Here is a 20,761-nt window from a genome sequence, read left to right on the forward strand (position 1 = left end):
AGCACTTCCTGTGTCTCCCTGTCCTCAACTAAAAACAAAAAGATGGACTACAGCCTCTGAGTCCTTCTAGCTCTTCCACTATCTGAAACAGTAAACCCAGTATTATGAATGCCACAGTCCTACTCATTCAAAACAAGAGACAGTGACTTTGAGGGAGGACTGGGTCCCTTCCCTCTCCCTCATCCTTCTCCTACCCTTAGTGAGGTCCAGCTTTAACAACCTTTGGCATTTGAATGCTCAGGTTAGAATGGGGCGAGTTTCCTAGTGTAATATGCGATATGATCAGACACATCGGACACTGGCGTCAGCCGCGGCAGGAAGCATCCCCTCCTTTGCCTCTCACTCCCATCTACATGACACCCCCATCATCATCTCTACACCTCCCTGGCCACCCCATTTGGGCAGTCTTGTGCTAGTAGAAAAAGACAACTGACCTACCACCTGCTCAGTAGTCCCCCTCTCAAGACACACTCTTTCCTCCGATGCTTCTCACTGAATCTTGTGGTTCCCTGCTGCCATGTTATATAGGGCTATTGCCACACGGAGGTGGCGTGGGGGGCAGTTCTGCGGTGGATAACCCCCATAGTGAGAACTGGCCTCTTCAAGGAGGTGTATCTTCTAAGGAAGCTAAGTTTGGATGCAGTGGTTAGGAGGCTGTACTGCTCTATGCCGCGCCACGGACTGGGACCTGACGGAGAAGCAGAGCTGAATTCGACCCTGTAATTGCTGGGAGAGATGGGTCTCACCAAGGAATGCAGCTGTGAGGTGCCAGGACTAGACGGGGCCAAATGGCAGCAGTAAACCCCAGGTATTCAGAGGAAGGAGAACTCCTGTGTACTGAGATGTGCAGGGACCTTCCCAAGCCTCACTATTCTCTAGTTTCTTCACGGTTTCTTGATAGACTTCAAGTCTGTTATGCTCAAATGCATATCCACAGATGCACACAGTTCATGTTTCTTCTGCTGCTCAGTGGCACCCTCTGGTGTTTTCTTTTAGCCTAATGTTCCTGAATTTTCATTCCTGGAGTTACGTACCTTTTGAATTATAATTCACTTTTACAATACAGCCTAGAGTTGGAATCTGTCAAATCATACAGCCTCCAGGAGCTAAGGGGCATGAGATTCCATGCCATAGTTTAATGTATCCAGCCACTTACTTCACAAGAAAATGGTTTTCACAGTCATGACTTTGCAACAGCCCTTCTCACCTGCTGACTTTCTTCTTAACTTAGCAGGCTGTGAAACTCTTTTTTTAAAATTTCAGCAGGGAGTAAAGGAATAACCCCCACACTTAGAGTTAGAAACCCTAAGTTCAACCTCTGGCTCTGCCTCTTACTTGTCTTCATGGGCCAGTTGCTTCTCATTTTTTGCTTATAAAATGAAAAGATTGGACTAGATCCTCTTTTACAGCCCCCTTGCAGCTCTAAGAATCTTTGAGGGGGCATTTCAGGAGGTCAACAAACATCTGGGCATTAGTGAAGTGGGGGTCACATGGCTAGTAAGTGGTCACTCAGATGCAAATTCATTCTGACTTTGGTGATTATTCTGACACCACACCACTGTCTCCCTGTTGCCTCTGCTAGCACAGCCAGTCATTGTCTCTTACAGCCTCACTGCTCACAGCATTGCCCAAGGACCAGCAGAGCAGGCATTACCTGGGAGCTTGTAAGGAATGCAAAATCCCAGCCCTCACCCCAGACCCACTAACTCAGTTTAATAGAGGAGCCTAATAAACCACCTGTCCACAGAAACGGTGATTCATGTCTACTTTTCTTTGTTTGCATATTTCAGATTTGAATTTGGCCAGGAAACATCCCAAACTCTGAAGCTTGAAAATGCCTTGTATTTTGATCGAAAATACCTTTTTGCAAATTCCAAAACTTACTTCAATCTAGCTGTAGATGAAAAGGGCCTTTGGATTATCTATGCGTCAAGTGTGGACGGCTCGAGCATTCTTGTAGCACAACTGGATGAGAGGACATTCTCAGTGGTGCAACACGTCAATACCACGTACCCTAAATCCAAGGCTGGCAACGCCTTCATTGCCCGAGGAATCCTCTATGTCACAGACACCAAAGATATGAGGGTCACATTTGCCTTTGATTTGTTAGGAGGGAAACAGATCAATGCAAACTTTGATTTAAGAACTTCCCAGTCTGTTCTTGCCATGTTAGCATACAACATGAGAGATCAGCATTTATATTCATGGGAAGATGGCCATTTAATGCTTTATCCTGTGCAGTTTTTGTCAACTACCTTAAATCAGTGATGTGCTGCATTCGGCTCCCTTCAGCAAATTTCAGGGGTTTTCTGGGACCAGTTCTCCCCCAACAGGAAACTTGTTTTTTTAACGTCAGCCAGATATTTAGAAAATAACCTCAAAAGTGTTTATATGGTCAGTGAGCCCCGCTTAGTGAAATAGCAACAGATTGGAAGTTGAAATGGCTGAGATTTGGTGATCTCCCCACAGCTGGCTCTGCAAGTTACCTCTTTCTCCTTGGGCCTTAGTTTCCCCATTGGTAATCTGAATTGGCTAAGATGATTGGGGAGATTTTCTGTACCTGTAGGTAATTTGGTGATTCTTGGTGGCTGCTCTTCTCACAACTTTTATGTATCTGCTTCTGTCGTTTAGCTTTTTTAGCCACATGCTGACCAAATTTACCTTTGAGTTGATAAGTCCAGTGGCTTGAGTAGTGAATCCCTCAGTGCTGACTTATATCTTGTTCTTTGAAAAAATGCATTGACTCTTTAAGACATCTAAAGTATCACATTATCCATAATTTATTGCTTTTCTTTGCATCTGCACCTGCCACCACAGAATAACCATTACCCTCAGCTGCTGATTGGGCAGCTCTGAGATTAGCAAAAGCCAGGGACAGCTACATGTTCAGGTTTTTTTTTTTTTTTTTTTTTCAATAAGCTATTTTTTTTCTTTTCTTATTTTAAATAGAGAGAGAGTCTTGCTATGTTTCCCAGGCTGGTCTTGAACTCCTGGGGCTCAAGTGATCCTCCTGCCTTGGCCTCCCAAAATGCTGGATTACAGGCATGTGTGCCTGGCCCAGGTTTCTTAATAAAACAGAATCATGATCTTCCAGGTTCCCCCCAGTTTCTGATCATGTTGATTTGTAGCTGTGGATCATGAACACTGAATCCTCAGATCACTCTGACTTCTTATGCTTCTCCTGTGGATCCACTATCAAAGTACTAAATGCTGTGTAAGTAGACGTTAATCTGGCTGGAACCATGGGAAGCACTTTGCAGTGTTCAGAAGAGAGGCTCCATTTGTGGCTATTATGTAGAACTGGGCCAGAGCCAGTCCATTGCCTGTTTTTTTAAATAAGGTTTTACTGAGCACAGCCACACTCATTTGTTTATGCAGTACGGCCTGACATTGCTTTTGCTCTGCAACAGCAGAGTCGAGTCATTGCAACAAAGAGCATATGGCCCCACAGTGCCTAAAATATTGACCAGCTACCCCTTTATGGAAAAAGATTGCTGACTCCTGATAAAGAATATAAAGTGAGCCTGATTCTTGAAAAAATCAGAACCAGAGCCTGTTTTGTTTTGTTCTAAACTAAGAAGCCGCATAGGATGTGACTTGCGTTTTGAGTAGAGGGGAAGGCTGATAACGGCGTAAGATGAAGTGGCCCTCCACAAAGGCTGGTTAGGGGACAGTTCTTTCTCTAACATAGTTTTAAAGGATGTGATCTGGTCCCCTTGGATGCCAGGAGAGAATCCAGTTGAACTTGCTCCTAAATGCTCTTAAATATGCATATTTTCTGCCAACTCACTTCTTTAAACATCTTTCAGCCCAGCGCTGCGGCCCCGGGAAGGGCCACTGCGAATAGAGAGGAAGCTGGAAAAGTTCCTGGGGCTCTGCAGCCAGGAAGGGGAACCAGGGCAAATCTTATGTAAAGATTTTTCAGCAACTTGTCCCAATTTGTGTGTATTCTGAAACTTTCTCTTTGGGACCAAATTCATTCTCAATGGCCCTGAGTTCAATATATTATTAACAGCAGTATTTTAAAACTTAGGGTTGAACTGGGCATGGTGGCACATAACTGCAATCCCAGCTACTTTGGAGGCAGGGATGGGAGGATCACTTGAGGCCAGGATCTCAGGACCAGCCTAGAGAGATCCCATCTCTAAAAAATAAAATATAAGAAAATAAAACTTAGGGGATATACAGATTTAAATATTCAAATCTCCCTGCTCCCCTGAAAGTCCCCAGGCAGCTGTCAATGACTTGTTTGTTGTGTTCTCAATATGATGGCTATTTGAAACTTCACCTACTTTTCATTAGATTGGTTGTACCATGTCACCTTAGCTTTTAAAAATACTCTTTTCAGATTCACGTTCTCTAACAAAGAGTCTCATGTTCAAGATCAATATGTCTAATAAGTGCTGGTGTCCTTTTAAAGTATTTAAATATATATGTTGCTGTTGCTGAATACAGGAGACCAGGTTAGGAATATAGTTTCATAATAATAGTACATACAATACTAATTGTATATAAGGTAGCAACCAAAAGAGGTTGTTAATTAGCACATATTCCTTTTAGAAAAATGTTTCAGAAACCTCAGTCTTGATATCTGAGCTATCTGGGCTCCCTTACTTGTGAGTAAGGGATCATGCTCACCACTGGAGAAGCTTACACCGGGACTTTTTTTCTTTTTTCTTTTTTTTTTGCTATGACAGAGTAATGCTAACGTAAGGACAACTGAGTTTGATCAGTGTTTAATCGCAGTGGGTAATCTTATCTGATTGTCTTTAAAAGTGAAAAGGATTAAGATTTTATTCTTTCTTGTAAACATTACTTGATTTTTTAAAGAAGTTTTGGGCTCACTGCTAAAATAGAGTATACAACTGAATGTTTTTAAGTCAAGATACTGTTTTAGGAGTTTACCCTCTCATTTATAACCAAAGTTGCTCTAAAACACTTTCCAAATATCTGCACTTCTGATGTCAGAATCAAACCAGATAATTCTCTAATTCTTCTTTAATCTAAAGTAGATAGCTTCCCACTGGAAAGTAAACAAAACCATCCCTCCCAACCTCAAAGCTAGGCCACACTCTATTTCAAGGCATTTTCTTTCAGCTGATAAGGTGTCCTCCTGAAGCCAAGTAGGTGGTTCTGGTCTCCAAGTATCGTTAAGCACAGGTGCTATGACAGAAAAAGTTCTGGGGTGGAAGTTTTAAGATGAGGAGTTCTGATCTTAGGCATCTTAACAGTCACAAGGTGAAAAGTCAAATGAAACAGTACAATTCTTGATGAGTGAGGTGTCATCTTCCAACCACACAGAGGACGTTTTGGCTATGATCATCTGATGGCAAGTGAAGGAGAAATGAGTGATAGGGCTTTGCGTTTTCATCCAGATGCTGTGGCCCTGTGTTTCACAGCATTAAGAGCCATAATTTCCAACCTGCACAGATCCTGAACAACAAATGAATAACGATGAATGTCTTTTTGGTTGTAATTTAACAAGTCAAATAAAATAATCATTGCTGAGCACAATCACATGTTGAAACAAGTGTGTTGTTATTTTTACCTCTTGTTAATGTATACGTAACATTTAAAAGAAAAAATCCAAAACAATATTGTGGTAGAATTATATTAGTTGCTCCTCTGTGGAAACTCAATTTGCTAGCTCCTTCTGAATACAGTACTGAAAAATTGTTGATATGGACTGTCTCTTCTCTATAAGAAAACATGAGCGATGGAAATCTAGTACTAGAACTGGGTTATACGTAGACATAAATGCAATCAAGCTTTGCCAATTCATCAGCATGGGCAAGGCAATTGAGGACATAATATTTGAGGCTAAAAATTGAAAGAACAAAAATTTAAAACTGGATTTATGTGAATTTGGGCAAGTCTCTTAATCCCTCAGAGCCTCTTTCATCTATAAAACATGTCTAAAAAAAAGTAATAGTATTTACTTCCTTTGGTTTTTCTATGTGAAATGCTCTGATAATTATACAGTTTTTGGCAAATTATAATTGTTACTTTTATTGTTCCTCCCTGCAGGGAGCCAGAGTGACCCTGTTCTTTTTTTCTTTTCTTTTTTTATACTTTAAGTTCTAGTGTACATGTGCACAACGTGCAGGTTACGTATGTATACATGTGCCATGTTGGTGTGCTGCACCCACCAACTCGTCATTTACATTAGGTATATCTCCTAATGCTATCCGTCCACCCCACCATCCCATGACAGGCCCTGGTGTGTGGTGTTCCCCACCCTGTGTCCAAGTGTTCTCATTGTTCAATTCCCACCTATGAGTGAGAACATGCGGTATTTGGTTTTCTGTCCTTGCGATAGTTTGCTCAGAATGATGGTTTCCAGCTTCATCCATGTCCCTACAAAGGACATGAACTCATCCTTTTTTATGGCTGCATAGTATTCCATGGTGTATATGTGCCACATTTTCTTAATCCAGTCTATCATTGTTGGACATTTGGGTTGGTTCCAAGTCTTTGCTATTGTGAATAGTGCCACAATAAACATACGTGTGCTTATTCACATGGTGTCCCTAACCATTTCTGCAGCCCTAGATAAGGCCATAAGAACAACAGGGGCTGCTATAAAGACCCTGTTGTTCTTATGGCTTATCTAGGGCTGCAGAAATGGTTAGGGACACCATGTGAATAGTTTCCATGGGCTGAGACCAAGGACCTGGTAGATCAGGTAACGCTGTCACAACGCCAAAAAAAATGGTCCCTTAGTTATACAACATATTTACATAAAACTCCCCAAATAATGAAAAAATGGTTCAAGTACCTGTTACCTTGACCTATAGAGCTTCTTTCTAACCTTCCCTAGAAGTGCCTGTTACTGGACTTTTGTAATTGAAATATTACAAAGTGAAAAAGTCCAAGGAGAAAATAATAGTCTCACCCCTTTAAGTGGACCATTCAGACCATGCATGTGATTTTAAGATCCCTAATCTTCTATCTATTCACTGTAAAGGTTTTAAATAAGGATGAAATTTGTCTTTCAGTCCCGCTACTGTTTCCTCCAAACACTCTGCTATGATCCAGCTCAACAACTGAGTTAAGCTTTAATAAAGAAGTGGTTTAAACTACTTCTAAAATCAGATTCTTGTGTCTAGCAACATGGCATTGTCAATGTCCCAAGCCGCTTGCCCAGAGGCCACATCCACAATTGCAGGATGAGAAAAGGTCAACACTGGATGGGACCCCTACAGAACACTCGATCCCACTGTCATTTTAAAGTCTAGGAAAGTGAGACCAGAGGAGATTCATGACTAATTCACCCCACGTGCAGCTTCAGTGCCAGAGTCAAGAGGAAACACTGTTCCTGACTTTATGTTTTCCACCTCATCCCACCGCTTCCAAAGATTGGATTTGGTTCTTATAACTGGAAAGTGGAAAAATTAACTTTGAATGCTTTTTAGGGCACTCCTTTTTAAAAAGCTATGTCTAGAGAAATATGCCAAACCCAGCCTCATCTTGCAGAGAAGTTCCATCACTCGGTAATGCCCAGCCTCACCTTCTGGAGCAGATACACACGCCCAAGTCCAGCACTACTTGTTACTCTCAAGATTACCACCACTGGACAGCCCTTCCTGGCCCAGTGCTTTAGAAACATCAAAGTAGCTGCCACTTGGTGCTCATCATCTCTATGCTGTGGTGTCTCCTGGGCAATCTGCACACGTGATTTCACTCAATCATGCCCAAGTGGAAAAGTCCTTAGATATCACCCCTTCCCTCTACGTGACGTTTAAATCCTCTCTACAAATGCAGTGAACACTGCGATGCACTCACAACTTGGATTCTACTTCAGAAAAGACATTTTGCTTTTGGTGCTGGAAGTGCTGTCAACATATAGCCTTCAGCTGTCAGCCCCTACAGAAATGGTCAGAGCTGCAGAGAGCCGCTTTGCCCAAGGAAGCGCCTCATCATCCAATGACTGATCGGTGTGAGAGTGTAAAGGCCTAGACATCTCAGCCCACCTTGGAATTACTCTAAAGAGCAATTCTAGTGCCAGAGTACCCCATGGTTCAGCCAAGTCTGTCACCGTGCCTGTAGATTGACTTTCTCTGTCCTTCCTGCTTCTGGCACCTCCTTTCCACAGGTGTTGATCCTAAGGGCTCTTCTTAATGACATCATGCTGACTAAACTCCATCTCAGAGTTTGCTTCCCAGGGAACCCAACCTGTTGTAGAATTGCCACATAAAATACAGGATTCCAAGCTACATTTTAATTTCAAATTGACAGAAAAATTATAGTAAAAATATGTCCCAGATATTGCATGAAATATACTAAAAAATGTATTTGTTTATTTAAAATTCAAATTTAACTGGGAGCCTTGCATTTATATTTACTGAATCTGGCAATCCTAACCAGGTATGATCCCAGAAAGAAGCCACTGAAATGGGGCTTTGGTGCTGGATCACTCACCATCCTTCCTTCATTGAGGACCCCAGGTTGGTAATAGATAAAGCACAAATATCACCTGGGACAAGGAATTGGTCTAATTGCTCAAACTTTCATTGGTGATCAACTGGCATGGTATAGCGGTAGAAAGGAAGGCATTAGCTGATGTGATGTGTCAGATGTTTGAGATTTGGGCGAAATAGGGACTGAAAGGATAATAAAATCAGGTGGCTACTGCTAAGCTTGATTGGCCCACTGAAAACAGATAAAAAGCTGAGCGTGACTAATCACCAATAGAAAACTGAGTGAGAAAGCTAAGGGCCTCCTAACCCGCTCCTTACACCTCCAGCTTATAAAGAGACTCTTGTCTCCTGCAGAAGGGGAGAAAAATCTCAGGATCAGACCCTGTACTTAAAGATCAGAGTTACCAACCTCCAAAGAAGATTAAACTCCCAACAAAAGAAGACCTGCTATGCCAAGGTTAGAACATGAACAGAGACAGACTGGGGCTCTGACATATGGGATAAGATGTCTGTGTTGGCCACTTCCAAGTTGCAGTTTGTGTAGACTTTGTGGGCATTTGGAAGTAAAGGGGAAATTCAAAGATGGGTTAAATCAAGTTTGTTGGCAAACTTTTTCTATAGAAGACCTGATAACAAATATTTTAAGCTTTGTGGGCCACACGGTCACTGTTGGAACTACTCACCTCTGCCATTGTAGTTGAAAACTATAACATGTAAATAAATGAGCATGGCTCTATTAAAACTTTATGGACACTGAAATTTGAATTTTATATAATTTTTACATCTCACAAAATTCTGTTTATTTGACTTTTTCTTTTGTTCTCAAACTTTTGACAAGCATCTTTGACTTTTAAAAAATATTTACACAGTAAAAACTATTTTTAGTTTGCAGACCATACAAAAACAGGTAGTGGGCCAGATCTAACCTGAAGGACATAGTCTGCCACCCCCTGGGATAATCATGCTACCTCAAATTGTACTTTCCATTAAGAACATTGTTTTGGCCATTGCTAGAATATGGGAGCCACTGTGCCAACTTAAAGATAGCTGCACACATAGGGTACAATAGTTTTTACTTTACTTTCTCCAAAGAAGCTAGGAAAGAAATACTATGGTGGTGGCAACATCAATGTTGTTCATGTTATTGAGTGCTGACCATGTGCCAGGCACCATGCTAAATGCTTCAAGTGTGTTAACTCGTACAATTCTCATGGGAAGCCTATAAGGTATAGTCTTTTTTAAATCAATTTTCCAGATTGAAAAATTAAGAAGCTCACCCACTGTCGCTCAGTTTGTAAGTGGTGAAGTTGGGATTCAAATTCAGGCAGTCTGACACTAGAGTTCATGCTTTTAGCAACCACTCTTACTTGCCTCTAAGAATACCTACGATTCCTCTATGCTTTTTGGCTCCCTCTGACCTTTCTATTGTAGTGATAAGGGTTAAAGACATCCACATAGGAGGAGACTCAGCAAGTCCTTTTCTGTTTTTTTGTCTTTTGGTCTCTCTTGTCCTTAGGAGTCTGACAAGGTAATGTGAGGTTGGCAAGCTGATCCCTTTGGTAAAAGATGGATCTGTATTTCTATTTTCACCCTTGCCATCTCTCTCTCTCTATCCCCCAACTTGTGCTCTGGAATATACTTTTGCTAATACTAACATATGCACTCCAGCTTTCTTTTGGTTCATGTTAGCATAGGATATCTTTTTCCTTCCTACTATTAATCTATGGGTGTCATAGTAAAGTGGGTTTTTTTGTAGGCAGCATATAGTTAAGCTTTGTGTTTTTTTTCTTTTTTTACCTAACAACTTCTGCCTTTTAATTGAGATATTTAGACCAGGGATTAGTAAACTACAGCCTGGTGGGCTGCCTTTTTTTTGTACTAATGTTTTATTAAAATGCAGCTACATCTATTTGTGTATCGTCCATGGCTGCTTTTATGTCATAATAATAAAGTGATATAGTTGCAACAGAAACTTTACCGTCTATGAGCTTAAAATATTTATGATTGGCCCCTTTAAGAAAAGGTTTGAAGACTCTCGGTCTGGACAATTTACATTTTTTTTTCTTCCCAACTCCTTAGTTTAGACCATTTACATTTCATGCAATGGATATGCATTTATTGATATGGTTGGTTTAAATCTACCACCTTGTTATTGCTTTATCTGTTCTTTGTTCCCTTTTTTCTTTTTCTGCTGACTTTTGAATTGACTGTGTTCTAAAATTTCACTTTATTTCCTTTCTTGGATTTTTAGTTATAATTTGTGTAATTGTTATTTCTGTGTTATTTTACTTTAGGGTTTATAATGTGTATGTTTTTTCAGAGCCTTTTTAAAAACTAATTTTTTGGAAGGAGGTGGAGCAAGATGGTGAAAGAAGCCTCCAGCAATCATCCTCCCCACAGGAACATCAAATCTAACTACTATCTACACAAAAAACACCTTAAGAAGCCAAAAAATCAGGTGAGCAATCACAGTACCTGGTTTTAACTTACCACTGAAAGAGGCACTAGAGAGGGTCTGAAAGACAGTCTTGCATTGCCAATGCCACAGTGGCCCCATGCACAGAGAGAATCTGTCCTTGGGGGAGGGAGAGGACAGTAATTGTGGGACTTTGCATTTGAACTCAGTGCTGCCCTGTCACAGTGGAAAGCAACACCAGGCAGAAATCAACTAACCCCATAGAGAGAACATTTAGATGAGCCCTAGCCAGAGGGGAGTCATCCCTTCCAGTGGCCAGAAATTGAGTTCCGCAAGCCTCGCCGCTGCAGGCTAAGGTGACTTGGGTTCCAACTAACCTTGAGAAGCAGTCTAGGCCACAAGGACTACAACTCCTAGGTGAGTTCTAGTGCTGTGCACTTGGAGCCCGTGGACTTGGGGGGCATACAATCTGGTGAGATACCAGCCGGGGCAGCCAAGGGGGTGCCTGGACCACCTCTCCCCCAGGCTCAGGCCACACAGCTCACAGCTCAGAAAGAGACTTTCCTTCCAGTTGAGGTGAGGAGAGGGACGAGTAGAGAGGACTTTATCTTGAAACTTGGAAACCAGTTCAGCCACAGTAGACTAGGGCACTGGGCAGTGTCCTAAGACACTCATTCTAGAGCCTAGTTCCCAGGCAACAATTCTGGACATACTCTGGGTCAGAAAGGAACCCACTGTCTTAAAGGGAAGGACCCAGTCTTGGCAGGATTTATCACTTGCTGAGTAAAGGGGCCTTTGGGCCCTGAATAATCAGCAGTGGTCGCCAGGTAGTACATGTCGTGGGCCTTGGGTGAACCTCTGAGACTTACTGGCTTCAGGTGAGACCCAGCACATTCCCAGCTGTGGTGGCTGTGGGGAAAGACTTCTTGTTTAAAAAAAAGCAGAGGGAAGAATAAAGAGGACTTCGTCTTGCAGCTTAGCTAACAGGTGGGTCATAGTGGGGTGGAGCACCAAGTGGGTGCCAAGGGGGTTTGGGGTCCCTGATTCCAGGCCTTCACTCACAGACGGTATTTCTGGACCTGTCCTGGGCCAGAGGGGAGCCCACTGCTCTGAAGCGTGAGTCTCAGGTCTGGCAGCATTTACCACAAGCTGACTGAAGAGCCCTTGGGCCTTGAGTGGACATTGGCAGTAGCCTGGCAGTACTCCTCATTGGCCTGTAGCAGTGGTGGCGATGGGAAGAGACTCTTCTTGTGGAAAAGGGAGAGAAGAGTGAGAAGGCTTGTCTTTTGGCTTGAGTGCCAGCTCAGCCACAGTAGAACAGAGCACCAGGTAGATTCCTAAAGTATCTGACTTCAGGCCCTGGCTGCCAGACAGCACTTCTGGACCCATCCAGGGATGGAGGGAACTCACTGCCCTAAAGCAAAGAACACAAGCCTGGCTGGCATTGCCACTTGCTGATTATAGAGCTTTGAGCAAACATAAGTGGTAACCACATAGTCATTACAGTGGGCCTTGGATGAAACTCAGTGCTGTGCTGGCTTCAGGGCTCACCCAGTGCAGTCCCAGTGGTGGTGGCCATAAGGGTGCTTATGTCACTCCCTCCCCCAGCTCCAGGCAGCACAGCATAGAGATAGTGACTCCATTTGTTTGGGAGAAAGTAAAGGAAGAGAACAAGATTCTCTGCCTGCTAATACAGAGAATTCTGGATCTCATCCAGGTCCACCAAGGTAGTATCTTTGATTCTGCACAAGCCACAGTATTGTTGGGCATGGAGTACCTCCTAATGCAGATACAGCTGCAGTGACCAAAGACATAAATCACAACACCTAAGTCCCTTTGAATACCTGGAAAGCCTCCCCAAGAAGGACAGGTATGAACAAACAACAACCATAATAAATACCTGTATTAGTCTGTTCTCACACTGCTAATAAAGACATATCCAAGACTGGGTAATTCTTAAAGGAAAGAGATTTAATGGACTCACAGTTCCACATGACTGCAGAGGCCTCACAATCATGGCAGAAGACAAAGGAGACATGGCACATCTTACATGGCAAAGGCACATCTTACATGGCGGCAGGCATAAGAGGTGTGCAGGGAACTCCCCCTTTAAAACCATCAGATCTCATGAGACTTATTCACTGTCATGAGAATAGCATGGGAAAGACCCACCCCTATGATTCAATTACCTCCTACTAGGTCCTTCCATGACATGTGGGAATTATGGGAGCTATAATTCAAGATGAAATTTGGGTGAGGACACAGCCAAACCATATCATTCCACCCCTGGCCCCTCCCAAATCTCATGTCCTTACATTTCAAAACCTTTCTAAGTCCCCCAAGGTCTTAATTCAGCATTAACTCAAAAGTCCACAGTCCAAAGTCTCATCTGAGACAAGGCAAGTCCCTTCTTCCTCTGAGCCTATAAAATCAAAAGCAAATTAGTTACTTCCTAGATACAATGGGGGTACAGGGATTGGGTAAATACACCCATTCCAAAAGGGAGAAATTGGCCAAAGTAAAGTGCCCACAGGCCCCATGCAAGTCTAAAATCCAGCAGGGCAGTCAATTCTTAAAGCTCCAAAATGATCTCCTTTGAATCCATGTCTCACATCCAGGTCACACTGATGCAAGAGGTGGGCTCCCATGGCCTAAGGCAGCTCCAGCCCTGTGGCTTTTGTGAACCCCCAAAATTTGAGATAGGTCTCAGTTATTTTAGAAATTTTATTTTGCCAAAGTCGAGGACATGCACCCATTTGACAGTTTCAGGAGCTCCAGATGATATGTGCCCAAGGTGGTTGGAGCATAGCTTGATTTTACACATTTTAGGAAGACATGAGACACAACCAAAATATGTAAGATAAACACTGGTTTGGCCCAGAAAGGCAGGACAACTCGAAGCAAAAACAAGACAACTCGAAGCAAGGAGGGGCTTCCAGGTCACAGGTAGATAAGAGACAAAAGGTTGCATCCTTTTGAGTTTCTGATTAGCCTCTCCAAAGGAGGCAAACAGATATGCATCTGTCTCAGTGAGCAGAGGGGTGACTGAATAGAATGGAAGGCAGGTTTGCCCTAAGCAGTTACAGCTTGACTTTTCCCTTTAGCTTAGTGATTTCGGGGGCCCAGCGTATTTTCTATTCACATTTTCTCCCCTTTTTAAAATCTTTTGGAGAAAGTGTTTTAGAATAAAATGAGTCTCTCTCTGGTCTAAGATTTCATCTGATCTCTCATGTCGAGGATGGTGTATTCCTAGATGGGTAAGTCCCGAGTTATTAGGAAAGCTCATTTTTAGCAGGTTATGAAGTCTCGTGTCCTGTGAAGAGAAAATAGGGGGAGGAAGGGAGAAAAACAACAAAAGAACAATCCTGAAAAATCAATATAGGCCACATTACTCTCAAGTCCATACATCAGTAGTCAGGTATGAAAGTGGCTTATGTATGTAAATAGATTGCTGTTATTTTCTTCTGAAGTTTGTCTGGCTTCAGTTCACAGGGCTTTAAGAAAGGACAGCTTAGTTTTCAGTGACTCTAAATTAGGAAAAATGGGGAAAAAAGAAGGAAAAATAATTGAAAACATTATTTTGAAGACTTGTAGCCCACAAAAAATAGAACTTGGTTCAAACTCTAGAAAATAATAAAAATCAAAAATAGTTAGGCAAGACCAGATTCTAACAGGTGTACTATAGTTTTTGAAACATAATTTTTCCTCCCTTCAGTTTCCCAGTTTTACTAAAGGTAAATCATGGTAGTATCTATTTGCTTTATTATACTTGACCTGATTATTTGTATACAGTACAGCAAGAATAATTATTTTTTTTTTTTGGTGCTGATTTTAGATGCTTTTTTGTTTTGTTTTGTTTTGTTTTTGTTGTTGTTGTTGTTGTTGTTGTTTTAATTTTTTTTTTATTATACTCTAAGTTTTAGGGTACATGTGCACATTGTGCAGGTTAGTTACATATGTATACATGTGCCATGCTGGTGCGCTGCACCCACTAACGTGTCATCTAGCATTAGGTATATCTCCCAATGCTATCCCTCCCCCCTCCCCCGACCCCACCACAGTCCCCAGAGTGTGATATATTCCCCTTCCTGTGTCCATGTGATCTCATTGTTCAATTCCCACCTATGAGTGAGAATATGCGGTGTTTGGTTTTTTGTTCTTGCGATAGTTTACTGAGAATGATGGTTTCCAATTTCATCCATGTCCCTACAAAGGACATGAACTCATCATTTTTTATGGCTGCATAGTATTCCATGGTGTATATGTGCCACATTTTCTTAATCCAGTCTATCATTGTTGGACATTTGGGTTGGTTCCAAGTCTTTGCTATTGTGAATAGTGCCGCAATAAACATACGTGTGCATGTGTCTTTATAGCAGCATGATTTATAGTCCTTTGGGTATATACCCAGTAATGGGATGGCTGGGTCAAATGGTATTTCTAGTTCTAGATCCCTGAGGAATCGCCACACTGACTTCCACAATGGTTGAACTAGTTTACAGTCCCACCAACAGTGTAAAAGTGTTCCTATTTCTCCACATCCTCTCCAGCACCTGTTGTTTCCTGACTTTTTAATGATTGCCATTCTAACTGGTGTGAGATGATATCTCATAGCGGTTTTGATTTGCATTTCTCTGATGGCCAGTGATGATGAGCATTTTTTCATGTGTTTTTTGGCTGCATAAATGTCTTCTTTTGAGAAGTGTCTGTTCATGTCCTTCGCCCACTTTTTGATGGGGTTGTTTGTTTTTTTCTTGTAAATTTGTTTGAGTTCATTGTAGATTCTGGATATTAGCCCTTTGTCAGATGAGTAGGTTGCGAAAATTTTCTCCCATGTTGTAGGTTGCCTGTTCACTCTGATGGTAGTTTCTTTTGCTGTGCAGAAGCTGTTGAGTTTAATTAGATCCCATTTGTCAATTTTGGCTTTTGTTGCCATTGCTTTTGGTGTTTTGGACATGAAGTCCTTGCCCACGCCTATGTCCTGAATGGTAATGCCTAGGTTTTCTTATAGGGTTTTTATGGTTTTAGGTCTAACGTTTAAATCTTTAATCCATCTTGAATTGATTTTTGTATAAGGTGTAAGGAAGGGATCCAGTTTCAGCTTTCTACATATGGCTAGCCAGTTTTCCCAGCACCATTTATTAAATAGGGAATCCTTTCCCCATTGCTTGTTTTTCTCAGGTTTGTCAAAGATCAGATAGTTGTAGTTATGCGGCATTATTTCTGAGGGCTCTGTTCTGTTCCATTGATCTATATCTCTGTTTTGGTACCAGTACCATGCTGTTTTGGTTACTGTAGCCTTGTAGTATAGTTTGAAGTCAGGTAGTGTGATGCCTCCAGCTTTGTTCTTTTGGCTTAGGATTGACTTGGCGATGCGGGCTCTTTTTTGGTTCCATATGAACTTTAAAGTAGTTTTTTCCAATTCTGTGAAGAAAGTCATTGGTAGCTTGATGGGGATGGCATTGAATCTGTAAATTACCTTGGGCAGTATGGCCATTTTCACGATATTGATTCTTCCTACCCATGAGCATGGAATGTTCTTCCATTTGTTTGTGTCCTCTTTTATTTCCTTGAGCAGTGGTTTGTAGTTCTCCTTGAAGAGGTCCTTCACATCCCTTGTAAGTTGGATTCCTAGGTATTTTATTCTCTTTGAAGCAATTGTGAATGGGAGTTCACTCATGATTTGGCTCTCTGTTTGTCTGTTGTTGGTGTATAAGAATGCTTGTGATTTTTGTACATTGATTTTGTATCCTGAGACTTTGCTGAAGTTGCTTATCAGCTTAAGGAGATTTTGGGCTGAGACGATGGGGTTTTCTAGATAAACAATCATGTCGTCTGCAAACAGGGACAATTTGACTTCCTCTTTTCCTAATTGAATACCCTTTATTTCCTTCTCCTGCCTGATTGCCCTGGCCAGAACTTCCAACACTATGTTGAAGAGGAGTGGTGAGAGAGGGCATCCCTGTCTTGTGTCAGTTTTCAAAGGGAATGCTTCCAGTTTTTGCCCATTCAGTATGATATTGGCTGTGGGTTTGTCATAGATAGCTCTTATTATTTTGAAATACGTTCCATCAATACCTAATTTATTGAGAGTTTTTAGCATGAAGGGTTGTTGAATTTTGTCAAAGGCTTTTTCTGCATCTATTGAGATAATCATGTGGTTTTTGTCTTTGGCTCTGTTTATATGCTGGATTACATTTATTGATTTGCGTATATTGAACCAGCCTTGCATCCCAGGGATGAAGCCCACTTGATCATGGTGGATAAGCTTTTTGATGTGCTGCTGGATTCGGTTTGCCAGTATTTTATTGAGGATTTTTGCATCAATGTTCATCAAGGATATTGGTCTAAAATTCTCTTTTTTGGTTGTGTATCTGCCCGGCTTTGGTATCAGAATGATGCTGGCCTCATAAAATGAGTTAGGGAGGATTCCCTCTTTTTCTATTGATTGGAATAGTTTCAGAAGGAATGGTACCAGTTCCTCCTTGTACCTCTGGTAGAATTCGGCTGTGAATCCATCTGGTCCTGGACTCTTTTTGGTTGGTAAACTATTGATTATTGCCACAATTTCAGAGCCTGTTATTGGTCTATTCAGAGATTCAACTTCTTCCTGGTTTAGTCTTGGGAGAGTGTATGTGTCGAGGAATGTATCCATTTCTTCTAGATTTTCTAGTTTATTTGCGTAGAGGTGTTTATAGTATTCTCTGATGGTAGTTTGTATTTCTGTGGGATCGGTGGTGATATCCCCTTTATCATTTTTTATTGTGTCTATTTGATTCTTCTCTCTTTTTTTCTTTATTAGTCTTGCTAGCGGTCTATCAATTTTGTTGATCCTTTCAAAAAACCAGCTCCTGGATTCATTGATTTTTTGAAGGGTTTTTTGTGTCTCTATTTCCTTCAGTTCTGCTCTGATTTTAGTTATTTCTTGCCTTCTGCTAGCTTTGGAATGTGTTTGCTCTTGCTTTTCTAGTTCTTTTAACTGTGATGTTAGGGTGTCAATTTTGGATCTTTCCTGCTTTCTCTTGTAGGCATTTAGTGCTATAAATTTCCCTCTACACACTGCTTTGAATGCGTCCCAGAGATTCTGGTATGTGGTGTCTTTGTTCTCGTTGGTTTCAAAGAACATCTTTATTTCTGCCTTCATTTCGTTATGTACCCAGTAGTCATTCAGGAGCAGGTTGTTCAGTTTCCATGTAGTTGAGCGGCTTTGAGTGAGATTCTTAATCCTGAGTTCTAGTTTGATTGCACTGTGGTCTGAGAGATAGGTTGTTATAATTTCTGTTCTTTTACATTTGCTGAGGAGAGCTTTACTTCCAACTATGTGGTCAATTTTGGAATAGGTGTGGTGTGGTGCTGAAAAAAATGTATATTCTGTTGATTTGGGGTGGAGAGTTCTGTAGATGTCTATTAGGTCTGCTTGGTGCAGAGCTGAGTTCAATTCCTGGGTATCCTTGTTGACTTTCTGTCTCGTTGATCTGTCTAATGTTGACAGTGGGGTGTTAAAGTCTCCCATTATTAATGTGTGGGAGTCTAAGTCTCTTTGTAGGTCACTGAGGACTTGCTTTATGAATCTGGGTGCTCCTGTATTGGGTGCATAAATATTTAGGATAGTTAGCTCCTCTTGTTGAATTGATCCCTTTACCATTATGTAATGGCCTTCTTTGTCTCTTTTGATCTTTGTTGGTTTAAAGTCTGTTTTATCAGAGACTAGGATTGCAACCCCTGCCTTTTTTTGTTTTCCATTGGCTTGGTAGATCTTCCTCCATCCTTTTATTTTGAGCCTATGTGTGTCTCTGCACGTGAGATGGGTTTCCTGAATACAGCACACTGATGGGTCTTGACTCTTTATCCAACTTGCCAGTCTGTGTCTTTTAATTGCAGAATTTAGTCCATTTATATTTAAAGTTAAGATTGTTATGTGTGAATTTGATCCTGTCATTATGATGTTAGCTGGTGATTTTGCTCATTAGTTGATGCAGTTTCTTCCTAGTCTCGATGGTCTTTACATTTTGGCATGATTTTGCAGCGGCTGGTACCGGTTGTTCCTTTCCATGTTTAGCGCTTCCTTCAGGAGCTCTTTTAGGGCAGGCCTGGTGGTGACAAAATCTCTCAGCATTTGCTTATCTGTAAAGTATTTTATTTCTCCTTCACTTATGAAGCTTAGTTTGGCTGGATATGAAATTCTGGGTTGAAAATTCTTTTCTTTAAGAATGTTGAATATTGGCCCCCACTCTCTTCTGGCTTGTAGGGTTTCTGCCGAGAGATCCGCTGTTAGTCTGATGGGCTTTCCTTTGAGGGTAACCCGACCTTTCTCTCTGGCTGCCCTTAACATTTTTTCCTTCATTTCAACTTTGGTGAATCTGACAATTATGTGTCTTGGAGTTGCTCTTCTCGAGGAGTATCTTTGTGGCGTTCTCTGTATTTCCTGAATCTGAACGTTGGCCTGCCTTGCTAGATTGGGGAAGTTCTCCTGGATAATATCCTGCAGAGTGTTTTCCAACTTGGTTCCATTCTCCCCATCACTTTCAGGTACACCAATCAGACGTAGATTTGGTCTTTTCACATAGTCCCATATTTCTTGGAGGCTTTGCTCATTTCTTTTTATTCTTTTTTCTCTAAACTTCCCTTCTCGCTTCATTTCATTCATTTCATCTTCCATTGCTGATACCCTTTCTTCCAGTTGATCGCATCAGCTCCTGAGGCTTCTGCATTCTTCACGTAGTTCTCGAGCCTTGGTTTTCAGCTCCATCAGCTCCTTTAAGCACTTCTCTGTATTGGTTATTCTAGTTATACATTCTTCTAAATTTTTTTCAAAGTTTTCAACTTCTTTGCCTTTGGTTTGAATGTCCTCCCGTAGCTCAGAGTAATTTGATCGTCTGAAGCCTTCTTCTCTCAGCTCGTCAAAATCATTCTCCATCCAGCTTTGTTCTGTTGCTGGTGAGGAACTGCGTTCCTTTGGAGGAGGAGAGGCGCTCTGCGTTTTAGAGTTTCCAGTTTTTCTGTTCTGTTTTTTCCCCATCTTTGTGGTTTTATCTACTTTTGGTCTTTGATGATGGTGATGTACAGATGGGTTTTCGGTGTAGATGTCCTTTCTGGTTGTTAGTTTTCCTTCTAACAGACAGGACCCTCAGCTGCAGGTCTGTTGGAATACCCTGCTGTGTGAGGTGTCAGTGTGCCCCTGCTGGGTGGTGCCTCCCAGTTAGGCTGCTCGGGGGTCAGGGGTCAGGGACCCACTTGAGGAGGCAGTCTGCCCGTTCTCAGATCTCCAGCTGCTTGCTGGGAGAACCACTGCTCTCTTCAAAGCTGTCAGACAGGGACACTTAAGTCTGCAGAGGTTACTGCTGTCTTTTTGTTTGTCTGTGCCCTGCCCCCAGAGGTGGAGCCTACAGAGGCAGGCAGGCCTCCTTGAGCTGTGGTGGGCTCCACCCAGTTCGAGCTTCCCGGCTGCTTTGTTTACCTAAGCAAGCCTGGGCAATGGCGGGCGCCCCTCCCCCAGCCTCGTTGCCGCCTTGCAGTTTGATCTCAGACTGCTGTGCTAGCAATCAGCGCGATTCCGTGGGCGTAGGACCCTCTGAGCCAGGTGTGGGATATAGTCTCGTGGTGCGCCGTTTCTTAAGCCGGTCTGAAAAGCGCAATATTCGGGTGGGAGTGACCCGATTTTCCAGGTGCGTCCGTCACCCCTTTCTTTGACTCGGAAAGGGAACTCCCTGACCCCTTGCGCTTCCCAGGTGAGGCAATGCCTCGCCCTGCTTCGGCTCGCGCACGGTGCGCACACACACTGGCCTGCGCCCACTGTCTGGCACTCCCTAGTGAGATGAACCCGGTACCTCAGATGGAAATGCAGAAATCACCCGTCTTCTGCGTCGCTCACGCTGGGAGCTGTAGACCGGAGCTGTTCCTATTCGGCCATCTTGGCTCCTCCCCA

General features: G+C 42.2%; 1 protein-coding gene across 11 annotated transcripts in view; it reads left to right on the forward strand.

Annotated features, from left to right (window-relative positions):
- GLDN (gliomedin) overlaps positions 1-10,879 on the forward strand; it is a 71,711-nt gene extending 60,832 nt beyond the window's left edge. For 9 of the 11 annotated variants that reach the window (NM_181789.4, XM_017022121.2, XM_017022124.3 and 6 more), the window contains one exon: positions 1,791-5,514. In NM_181789.4, coding sequence (NP_861454.2) covers positions 1,791-2,268 — 478 coding nt within the window. In that variant the 3' untranslated portion in view covers positions 2,269-5,514. Of the gene's footprint in view, positions 1-1,790; positions 5,515-10,740 lie in introns of those variants that run through there. The other 2 variants (XM_017022125.1, XM_017022126.3) reach the window with 1 other exon arrangement.

This window comes from Homo sapiens, chromosome 15 (assembly GCF_000001405.40).
Source record: "Homo sapiens chromosome 15, GRCh38.p14 Primary Assembly".
Taxonomy (NCBI): Eukaryota; Metazoa; Chordata; class Mammalia; order Primates; family Hominidae; genus Homo; species Homo sapiens.